Here is a 12678-nt window from a genome sequence, read left to right as displayed (position 1 = left end):
GGTCAAGAAACCTTTCTCTAGAATCTGACTTGTGTCTCAGAGCTCTCAGGTAAGAGAGCTGAGACTTAATACTCCTATACCTATCAGTCATTCACTAATGACTGCCAGTGAAGGGTTGGTGGGTGACACATTTCGAGGCATTTCTGGCTGTCTGAAGGATATGAAATAAAGTGGACTACATAGCTCAAGTCAGTCTTCTGGGGAGCAAGAGAGGAGTATGCTAAACCTGAAATATGCACAGAAATGGTAAAACAGCTATCCAAAGCATCTGAACAGAGAATGGACTTTATTTGCTATGGTCCACTCCATGAACTTCTCAAATGCACTCTATTTCAGTTTACCCAATTGCATTGTTCACAAAAAGACATAATTTCTTTTGAGAAAAATTAGAAGAGAAAGATTACTAGAACAAACTACAGTCCACACTGCTATGATTGGCTTTGAGGCAAAAATTAATTATACTACCTGCTTTGAATGGGCCCCTCAAAGTTCATGTGTTGGAAACATAATTCGCAATGCAACAGTGTGGAGAGGTGTAACTTTTCAAATATGATGAGGTCATGAGGGCTCTGCCCTCATCTCGGGAGTGGGTTAGTTATCATGGGAGTAGGTTCCTGGTAAAAGAATGAGTTCATCTCCCTCCCATTCTTTGTCTCACTCTCTCTCTCTCTCTCTCTCTCTCTCTCTCTCTGGCACTCTGACTCACTTGTTTGCTCTTGCACCTTCCACCATGGGATGATGCAGCGTGAAGTCCCTCACCAGATATGGACTCTTTGGCCTTGAACTTCTCAGCCTCTAGAACTGTAAGAAATAAATCTCTGTTCTTTATAAATTACTCAGTCTCAGGTATTTTGTTATGGCAGCACAAAATGGACTAAGACACCACCAACTCTACATTTCCTCATCATTGGGTAGACTTCTGCTGTCATCAGTTGTTCTTCTGATGGGGTGACTTTGGCCTTCATCTTTGTGGGGTTGATGGTTCTCATAGTCTCATCAGGTAGTGGTTGCCTAATTGTCCATTCACAATTAAATTTAAGTATAAGAGTACCAAGAGATGCCCCTGTGGATCCCACAAATTGCAAAATGCCAAGCAATTATTGTAACAGCAGTTATACCTCTCATGATGAGTGAAATAAATTGTCAGCACGAAGTGACCAAAATGACTAAATAATAACTGGAACTTTAGGCTTGGTAGGATTCTTATTGACTCTCCTCTCTGGGAACCAAATCTCTCCATCCATACAACCTAAAGCTATTGAAACAGAAAGCAAAAATTCCTCCAAAGGGGACACTGTGAATGATGGTGAGGTGATTCACACTTCCACCATTTGGTGGACTGTTTTCCTGTCTTGGCAGTTTCAAGGCTGTGGGGCAAAGGGAAGTCAGTTTTAGCAGCTTTCACTCAGTCTTTTACTATAATGATAACCTTTATTTTATGAGTCAATGAATCAAAATTAGAGTTCTTCCAGCTGCCAAACATGTCCATTCCATGTCCAATTGATCAGCTGAACTCTACATTCCTCTATTCGAAAAGGGAGTCATATTAGTGTCTTAGGTCCCTTGGTAGCAGTGTGAGCTCAGACCCTGATCTGACCCTAATCCAGCAACTCTCAGAACATCTAGTGCCCAGTTGGTGCACAGTTGCTGGAAAAGAGACCATAGATCCCTTTGGGGGAAATACTAGGGGAACTGCTCTTCTACATATTTGCTGTGATATTGTAGCATCCTTCTTCCAGGGGATGCAGCCACTCATTCAATGAACTTCATGTCTGATAACTGGCTCATTTATTAAAACCCACTAGGGTAGCTGACATTTTGCTTACATTCATCCATTCTGTTATCTTTGATTATATATAGTAAATAATACCTTTTCCAAATGCCCCTAGGATATTATGCTCTATTAGCAATTAACATGTATTTCTACAGGTCAGAGCTCCCGGGCTCCCATTCTGACTCAAGCCATCCAACACTTAGTTCCATTTTGCCTCTGATGATTCAGTGTTATCATTTGCCCTCTTCTTCTCTGAAATCCTATCATTTTTGATACACTAAAAAACATTCAAATTCCATAACAGAAAATCCTACTAACAGCCATAACCTACAAAGGACAACTATTTCTGAGTTTCTAAATGATGCCAGGGATCTAAATGTTACCAGAAAATTTCTTAACATCTTAGTGAAGAGAGTGTCTTCTGGACCACTCTGAAGAATGTAGTCATCTGATAGATTCTCAGGTCTTATAGAAAAGATTCAGTCAAACATTTCTATTTCTATAAGCCTTTTTTTGCCCTCTCTCAATTCTTAGCCAAGGGAATTATGGCAGCTCCACTTCACCTAACATGGGCTGTCTTTTCTTCCAAGTTTAGGAACCATCCTAGCAGTATATGAATGTCTCTAGATGCCCTTGCCAGAGCATTCCATCCTAAATTATTGGACAGTGGCCTGCATTAATAAATTGATCCCTGTTCAGCCTTACATTATGTCTCCATGCCCCAGTCCAGCACCCTCAAGATCTATTTTCAGGCATGTTCTTCAGTGTTTTCCAGTATATGTCAGTCAGGTCACAGATCTTCTGTGGGTCATTCCTTTCTCCCTTGGCATTGCAGTCACTTTCCTAGGAGAGCCATGCTGATACTTGACTCTAGTTACTGGTCTGGAAGTCAGGAGGATAGGTAGGAGGACGAATCTTGAGAAGGACAAATATTATCTTATGAGACAGCTACCTCAGTTGAGACTTGGTTGCTATCCTCTAGCAAAAGATGCAGGTGGCTTCTGCAGGCCCAGAGGATTTGGGGGAATCTTTTCTCCCCCACATCTACCCTGATGCTCCTATCCCAGGTCTCACGGTCCCAACACTTCCTTATTGGGATCCTACTTGGGCTTAGCAGACTTATCAAAGGTCCCAGTTCAACCTCCTCAATTCCCCTTTTCTAAAATTCAGATCCTAGACCAGAGTTTATAAGAGACTTAAAAGGCATAACAATCAAACACAATGATTAGTTCTTGATTGGATTCCAAACAAAACAGTTACAAAAGACATTTTGAAAAAATTGGAAAAATATAAATAAAGACTGCATTCAATGGCATTATAGGGTTTTTGGTTTTGTTTACTGTTTTTTTGTTTGTTGGGGGTTTTGGTGCAGTGGTGGTGGTGGTGGTGTAATTGTGAAAGAAGGAGTCTTTACTTCGGGAAATGCAGGCTGTGATATGTGAACATAAAGTGAGGTGATATTATATGGTTTCCTCAGAATACTTCAGCAAATATGGCAAAACATTAATAATTGTGATATCCAAGTGTTGCAGATATCAGTGTTCATTATACTGTTCTCTCTACATTTCTGCATGCTTGAAAGTTTTCATGACAAAAAGTAAGTGAGAGATATTTTTATAAGAAAGAAAGGTTTAGCGTGATGCCTCCAGCTTTGTTCTTTTGGCTTAGGATTGACTTGGCGATGCGGGCTCTTTTTTGGTTCCATATGAACTTTAAAGTAGTTTTTTCCAATTCTGTGAAGAAAGTCATTGGTAGCTTGATGGGGATGGCATTGAATCTATAAATTACCTTGGGCAGTATGGCCATTTTCACGATATTGATTCTTCCTACCCATGAGCATGGAATGTTCTTCCATTTGTTTGTATCCTCTTTTATTTCATTGAGCAGTGGTTTGTAGTTCTCCTTGAAGAGATCCTTCACATCCCTTGTAAGTTGGATTCCTACGTATTTTATTCTCTTTGAAGCAATTGTGAATGGGAGTTCACTCATGATTTGGCTCTCTGTTTGTCTGTTATTGTTGTATAAGAATGCTTGTGATTTTTGTACATTGATTTTGTATCCTGAGACTTTGCTGAAGTTGCTTATCAGCTTAAGCAGATTCTGGGCTGAGACAATGGGGTTTTCTAGATATACAATCATGTCTGCTGCAAACAGGGACAATCTGACTTCCTCTTTTCCTAATTGAATACCCTTTATTTCCTTCTCCTGCCTAATTGCCCTGGCCAGAACTTCCAACACTATGTTGAATAGGAGTGGTGAGAGAGGGCATCCCTGTCTTGTGCCAGTTTTCAAAGGGAATGCTTCCAGTTTTTGCCCATTCAGTATGATATTGGCTGTGGGTTTGTCATAGACAGCTCTTATTATTTTGAGATATGTCCCATCAATATCTAATTTATTGAGAGTTTTTAGCATGAAGCGTTGTTGAATTTTGTCAAAGGCCTTTTCTGCATCTATTGAGATAATCATGTGGTTTTTGTCTTTGATTCTGTTTATATGCTGGATCACGTTTATTGATTTGCGTATATTGAACCAGCCTTGCATCCCAGGGATGAAGCCCACTTGATCATGGTGGATAAGCTTTTTGATGTGCTGCTGGATTCTGTTTGCCAGTATTTTATTGAGGATTTTTGCATCGATGTTCATCAAGGATATTGATCTAAAATTCTCTTTTTTGGTTGTGTCTCTGCCAGGCTTTGGTATCAGGATGATGCTGGCCTCAAAAAATGAGTTAGGGAGGATTCCCTCTTTTTCTATTGATTGGAATAGTTTCAGAAGGAATGTACCAGTTCCTCCTTGTACCTCTGGTAGAATTCGGCTGTGAATCCATCTGGTCCTGGACTCTTTTTGGTTGTTAAGCTGTTGATTATTGCCACAATTTCAGATCCTGTTATTGGTCTATTCAGAGATTCAACTTCTTCCTGGTTTAGTCTTGGGAGAGTATATGTGTCGAGGAATTTATCCATTTCTTCTAGATTTTCTAGTTTATTTGCGTAGAGGTGTTTGTAGTATTCTCTGATGGTAGTTTGTATTTCTGTGGGATCGGTGGTGATATCCCCTTTATCATTTTTTATTGCGTGTATTTGATTCTTCTCTCTTTCTTTCTTTGTTAGTCTTGCTAGCGGTCTCCTACCTGACTTCAAACTATACTACAAGGCTACAGTAACCAAAACAGCATGGTCCTGGTACCAAAACAGAGATATAGATCAATGGAACAGAACAGAGCCCTCAGAAATAACGCCGCATATCTACAACTATCTGATCTTTGACAAACCTGAGAAAAACAAGCAATGGGGAAAGGATTCCCTATTTAATAAATGGAGCTGGGAAAACTGGCTAGCCATATGTAGACAGGTGAAACTGGATCCCTTCCTTACACCTTATACAAAAATTAATTCAAGATGGATTAAAGACTTAAACGTTAGACCTAAAACCATAAAAACCCTAGAAGAAAACCTAGGCAATACCATTCAGGACATAGGCATGGGCAAGGACTTCATGTCTAAAACACCAAAAGCAATGGCAACAAAAGCCAAAATTGACAAATGGGATCTAATTAAACTAAAGAGCCTCTGCACAGAAAAAGAAACTACCATCAGAGTGAACAGGCAACCTACAAAATGGGAGAAAATTTTTGCAACCTACTCATCTGACAAAGGGCTAATATCCAGAATCTACAATGAACTCAAACAAATTTACAAGAAAAAAACAAACAACCCCATCAAAAAGTGGGCAAAGGATATGAACAGACACTTCTCAAAAGAAGACATTTATGCAGCCAAAAGACACATGAAAAAATGCTCATCATCACTGGCCATCAGAGAAATGCAAATCAAAACCACAATGAGATACCGTCTCACACCAGTTAGAATGGCAATCATTAAAAAGTCAGGAAACAACAGGTGCTGGAGAGGATGTGGAGAAATAGGAATACTTTTACACTGTTGGTGGGACTGTAAACTAGTTCAACCATTGTGGAAGTCAGTGTGGCGATTCCTCAGGGATCTAGAACTAGAAATACCATTTGACCCAGCCATCCCATTACTGGGTATATACCCAAAGGGCTATAAATCATGCTGCTATAAAGACACATGCACACATATGTTTATTGAGGCACTATTCACAATAGCAAAGACTTGGAACCAACCTAAATGTCCAACAATGATAGACTGGATTAAGAAAATGTGACACATATACACCATGGAATACTATGCAGCCATAAAAAATGATGAGTTCATGTCCATTGTAGGGACATGGATAAAGCTGGAAATCATCATTCTCAGTAAACTATCGCAAGAACAAAAAACCAAACACCGCATGTTCTCACTCATAGATGGGAACTGAACAATGAGAACACATGGACACAGGAAAGGGAACATCACACTCTGGGGACTGTTGTGGGGTGGGGGGAGGGGGGAGGGATAGCATTAGGAGATATACCTAATGCTAAATGACGAGTTAACGGGTGCAGCACACCAGCATGGCACATATATACATATGTAACTAACAGGCACATTGTGCACATGTACCCTAAAACTTAAAGTATAATAAAAAAAAAGAAAGAAAGGTTTAGATTTAGGTGTGATTGTTCAATATACAGGAATAATGGAAAATCTCAAAGTAAAAACCTCCAGGAGGGAATGGTCCCAGAGTGTCATAGGGAAACAAAGTGACTATTTCACAGTCTGTCTACAGGTCGTGTGGTCCTTGGAGAGTGAACCACCTGCAAAGGAATCACTCCACTAATATTCAGAGGAAATAAAGACTTTCCATACCCTATGAGGTGTAACTTTAGAATATGATGAGTCATATTCAGAGAGTCAGTTCTCTGAAATCTTAACTTCAAATGGAAATGAAGCATAATAAATATATCTGCTCCAAAATTTAGTACTTTCTGTCTCCTCCCCACAAAATTTTAATTTAAAAATGAGCCATTAACTCCACAAATTACCAAGGTGCCACACCAAGTCTTTCTGTAGTCATTTCTCATAATCAGAATACCTTAAACTCAGGGAGAAGGTCAAAGCAAAATTGCCTTAAACTAAACTCAATTTTAATATTAAGATTTTGCTGTATAGAGAGAAGACAATGGCTTACATAGCTATTAATAAACATAGTTTTTTGGTCAGATTAAATCAATTTGATAAATTATCTTTATTTCCACAAATTACCTTTTTCTATGACGTTGAGACTTTGGAGATTCAAATTCTACTTATGACTGCATTTTGATTACCTTATGTGGATTTCCAAAAGCTTAGGCCATGAAATAACAAGATTCCTAAAATATTGACTACTGTTCGGTCTGATTTGCTGTGTGCTTAATAGCTTTATCTTGTAACAATATACACATCAATATGAATATTCTATTACCTCAATCATTTTTATCTCATGATGAATAAACTTATTTAAGCATACTTGCCAGCTCTTTACACAAAGTGAGATTTATGTATTAGTTATCTCAGTGAAGTGTTGAAGCCAGAGTTTTATCCCCTATTTCAGCCAATGAATAAAATTCTGTTGCCCACTCTCCATGTGCCAGACACTGTACAATCCACCAGAAACCCTGTGTACACAGTGCACACCAGGATCCTGCTGTCATAAAGCTTACACTTCTGCAGAAAATAGATCATTAAAGATCTCCAAATAATTAATTAAATCATTATTAGTGTTGCAAAGTGTTTTAGAAGAGAAAAAGAAACTCAATCTCCTGAAATCGTAAAAGACAGAACTGATAGTATCTTTGTGGCATTTCCAAAGTGAATAATGCTAGGAAGTCGAACATAGTTGAGCAGAAAAATAAAATTACATGTTTTTGGCAAAGTAAAGCGGATTAAAAACAAGGAAAAATGCTTTAAAAATAGAGACCATAAATCCCCTTTCCTCCAGTAGCCAAATTGAACTAATACACAAAATAGAGTGCACAAAATATTGAAAGGCAGATATTTCCTCCAGCACATTTGGCTTGTGACGTTTTGCCAAATTAACTGGTATAACCGTAGTGAAACTGTTCTACTCTTATTATAAATCAACATCAAATGGTGTTTCACAGATCCATCAGAGATCATATTACAAATGTAACACAAATGATCAAATACCATACAAAGGGTCTACTCCCAACTACAGATATCTTAATTTTATTCCATAGTTCTATGTTCTGTGGCAGAAAGATCAAACATGGTCTTTCTATCCATTCCCAAAGATTTAGATTTTTTTTTTGCAATAGCACACTGAGGAGATAATTATGATACAATTTCTTCTCCAGCAAACACTCAAAATATAATTTCTCCTACTTGCTTCAAGTTCTAGAAAACTTAATTTTTATTCCTTTTAAACAGTAAATACAAGTCTCTCAACATACAGTGAAAATTTTAACTCGTTTTTATTTTTTAAAACATAGAAACTGAGGCAAAGACAGCATTATCTTCTCCATTGTTATCAGTGACATTACATTTGGATGCACTAAAATCCTTTAGCTCCAATGAAAACAGAAATGTTTGAAGTGCCTAAAAAAGAAGTGTTTCTGCATTTAAAAATCAGAAAGAATGGGTTATTGCCAGCAGACTTTCTGGAGCTGGGTAAAATTTCAGTCCCAGACATTGGTGACCCTGAGACCAATTCTCCTTGCATTTAACATTGAAATGCTAATGTAGAAACTGGATCTTTTGTTTTCTATGGCAGAGCAAACAAGGCACACAGCAAGGGCAACATCTAATTCACAGCCCTTTACCAGACCCCTCATTTCAGGAAAATAACACATCTCATGCCAAAAATCCACAGCTCAACATTAAAAACCCACCACAGATGATGCCTGCAGGTGAAGCGGGTAGGGGTCGGGGGAAGAGCACCAAAAGTAACAAAGAAATTCCCAATAGCCAGGTCAAGCCAGGGGACAGAGGATAGTCCTAGAGGATAAAAGTGAGTTTGCTATAGGGAACATGGGAAGGATGTAGAACAACACTTCTGGGAAGGAATGCAGAAAATAGGGCACCAGATCTGCAGCCAAGAACCTGTTCTGTTTGTGGTAGTTATTTACATTACAGAGGATTTCACATATAGCAATGGGCTTTCACACCCATTGCTTTATTCACACCTCATGATGGAGAGACAGGTATTATTAAGTACATATTGCAGGCAGGAGAGCCGAGATTCAGAAGGGTCATGTACACGAGTTGTGGCTCTTGCCTAAGGAAACGTAACTAATAAGCAGAGTCCAGGTCTCCGAGACACCACAAGGCCAGGATTCCTCCAGTACCTCCTATTTGGACTCCAAAATCATAATCAGAGGCACCAGGCCTTACTTACTGCAGGCAACTACAACAACTTCACTTGCTTAGCATACACATTTCACCATATTTCATCAGCTTAGGATCCAGATTCTTTCTTTATTCTCCTTTGATTGCACAGTATATAGAAAGTCTGATTCAAACAGATACACATTATAAATAACTGGTTTTTATAAGCTTGCCTTGTAATTTCAGGAAAATTCCAACTAAACAAAGATGGCAGGATTTTCCGATAGCTGTGCAAAAATGAATTAAGCTGGCAGCACAAATTATAGCATTGATCATCTCCAATGTGTTAACGTACAGAATTCAACTCAATATGTCTGTTGTTTTTATGTCACAGTTTAAATAGTATCTATGTGTGTACACACACATATGTGCATATATATGTATTATATATAGTGTATGTGTATTCATATATATATATATATATATATATATATATATTGCCCGCACCTATTAAATTGTGCTTTGCCTGAAACTGCAGCACCAAAAAGATTCAATATGTAAGAGTGCTGTCTGGCCATGCTAAACAACCAGGGGGATAAGACGTCACCCTGGCAACAACACTACAAATCTCAGAATTCAAGGACCTATCATTATGCCAAACATGAGATATACCTGACATGCCTTAGATTGTATCACAAGTACAAAGAAGTAGTGGTTAAACTGTTACCCAATGAGCACTACTCACGGATTTAGCTATTTTAAGACCAGAAAAAAATTTTGTATTCCAAAAACAAATTATTTAGTTAGAATTATTATTTCAATTGTTCATCATTTTTATTAATGCTCCCATTGGTCTTTATATTGAAAAGGACATTCTCTAGTTCTTCCAAGTTTGAAAATATTGAATTCTTTCTCATAAAGACCACAGTTTGCAAACTTAGTTCACAAATTCAAAGAACTATGGAATTACCAACTGCATCTTAATTTAGAGTGTCTGATGTTATAAGGCATACAAGTTAAAGTAATGATACTGAACACCATAAATGTCTGGATAACAAATACGCCAATAAAAATATTTCTCATGATAATGTGTGCAATAACAAAACTCACAGAATTTACACATATGCTTAAAGCATCTATTCAAAACTTGCTTTTACAATCACTGTAAATGAATAGTAAACACGTTACATTACTAAATATAAACCCATTCAATGACAATAACCAAAAAGGAAAGCAACTGGGGTGATCACTCCACTCCCACTGCCGCTGTTTTGTTATTAACATTTCCCATTTTGCAACTGACACAAAAGCAATCTAGACTTCTTAAAATGCAGTGTGGGTTTGGATTACTTTAAATGTATTTCTTATAACTCAAAGATACAAGTTTTTTAACTTAAAAACGTGAATTTTAATCTCTAGATTATGAAGGGTGTACATGTTCAAATATAGGAAACAGATGGGGCCAAAAGCTTCATAAACTTCATATCCTGCCTATTTACATCTGGTTACAAGACTTGTCTTTCAAGCAGTCCTGAAGTGAAAGATAGACACAATCTTCAAAGCACAACTATATTCCTCTACATACTACACAGAAACTAAAGCCAAGCCTAGAAAGATCTTTATTCAAAATACCAAATTATTATGTGAGATATGACAGCTAAACATAAACTTTGGAATGGTTCACTTAAAAGAAAACCACCTACGGGACATCTACTATGTGTTGGGTCCTAGGAAGACACAGAAATGTAAAGCCAATTCTTAACCCCAAATGAGAGCAATGAGCAGGGAAACAGCAGATGCTGGGAGGCCAGGATGCCAGGCACTCCCATATGTCATTTCACTCAACTCTGACCCCAGGTGGTTGGTCCCAGTGCCTTCAGCATTTCTCTCCCTATGACCCTTCACTTCCGTTTTGTTGTCTTCTCCATCTCTGTTTCCCTTTCCCTTCTCTTTTCATTCCCCTAAAACATCCTAATTTTCCCCACACATCCTCTGAAATAGAAAAATGAGGCACTAAGTGGATGTTGATCCAAACAGATGGCCTGCATACAAAATCTAACTAAGATCAATCCACAGCGAACCCCCTGTGGAGCCCCCTCATGGCTTCAATATCCCTGCTTGCTACATCACAGTCCACCAGGGGCAATAACTGAGTGCCTGCGTGGCTTCTTTATCATCCCTACTATGGAGTCACTTCTTATGATTTATATTTAAAATGAAATTGAACATGTACAAAGATCCTTTCTTCCTAGCCCATGCCATGCTATATACCCCAGTGGTCTAAATATTCCTTTAGTGCCAAAAGATGAACTATCTTCCCCCAAAATCTTATATCTTAGAAGGCAAAAGATACTTTGTGAAACAATGTCATGTCTTTCATATATGAGAACAATGCTTGACTGTAAAGTATGTACTTCTTGATTACTAGTAGAGACAGAGATGTAGTCCCTTCCTTTTTTTTCTGACACCCTATGGTTTAATTAATATACGTTACTTGTCTAATCCTGTAAGTAATTGAATTTAGAGCCCCTTCAAATTCTCCATACAGAGTCTTATTACAACCATTAATCTTGTCAACCCTCCAAATTCTTAATGCAACTTGGCTTTAATGACTCAAAAATGTATTTCTTTTCTAAGCCAATTTTTGGAAGTGACTCCAAAGTGCTCACACCTATCTTTTAGGGGAGGGGGAAAAGAATGAAAGGTTGTACTACCTGCCGTGACTCCAAGAAGCCCTGATTACTATTCTAAGTTAGTCTGCCTTTACCAATTAGAAGCCTCTTTGTTGCTGAGAAGAGAGAATGCACACACATATGCAGATGAAAATTTAATCTCATGTGACCATCCTGCTACTATTAGAATTTTCTTTTAAAAATGTCTTTAATATGCCATTTATAAATTAGTTTTTAACAAATGATTAAGTCCCTTTCCTTTGGAACTTTTCTTTTTTGTTGAGACAAGGTCTCACTCTGTTGTCCAGGCTGGAGTGCAGTGGCACAGCCATGGCTCACTGCAGCCTTGACCTCATGGGTTAAGCGATCCTCCCACTTCAGCCACCCAAGTAGCTGGGACTATGGCATGCACCACCATGCCTGGCTAGTTTTTTTTTATTTTTTTTAAGAAGGGGTCTTGCTATGTTGCCCAGGCTGGTCTCAAACTCCTAGGCTCAAGAATCGCTTGAGCACTGGGATTACAGATGTGCTGTAAAGTGCTGGGATTACAGATGTGAGCCACCACTTCAGCCCTTTGAAACTGTTAATAGAAAAGATTTAATAAACTTTGTACAAGTTTATTGAATGTATTTAAAATGTCCTTGAAAGTCAAAAATAAATAAATAGATTCTCTAGTTGTATTAATCAGTCCTCTGAAGAAACAGAGCCAATAAGATACATATATATATATATATATATATATATATATATAAAGATTTATTATAAGGAATTGGCTCATGCAATTATGGAACTGAAAAGTCCAACGATCTGCTGTATGCAAGTTGGAGACCCAGGGAAACTAACACTGAAATTCAGTCCAAGCCTGAAGGCCTGAAACCAAGAGCACCAAGCATGGGAAAAGACTGATGTCCCAGCTCAAGCAATCAGGCAGGAAGGGAAAGGGGTTAATTCCTTCTTCCTCTGTCTTTTTGTTCTATTCAAGCTTTTAACGAATTAGATGATT

General features: G+C 38.1%; 1 annotated feature.

Moving 5' to 3' along the window:
• Positions 8910 to 9411: an enhancer, noted in NCBI's record as "H3K4me1 hESC enhancer chr4:144634585-144635086 (GRCh37/hg19 assembly coordinates)". NCBI's record gives its function as "activates a minimal SCP1, AML or CMV promoter by ChIP-STARR-seq in primed H9 embryonic stem cells {active_cell/tissue: H9 hESC(primed)}" and the evidence as "EXISTENCE:reporter gene assay evidence [ECO:0000049][PMID:30033119]".

The sequence above is a fragment of the Homo sapiens genome, chromosome 4 (assembly GCF_000001405.40).
Source record: "Homo sapiens chromosome 4, GRCh38.p14 Primary Assembly".
Classification (NCBI taxonomy): domain Eukaryota; kingdom Metazoa; phylum Chordata; class Mammalia; order Primates; family Hominidae; genus Homo; species Homo sapiens.
Note: the sequence above shows the minus strand (reverse complement) of the source record. Positions and strands in the feature narration are given on the sequence as shown.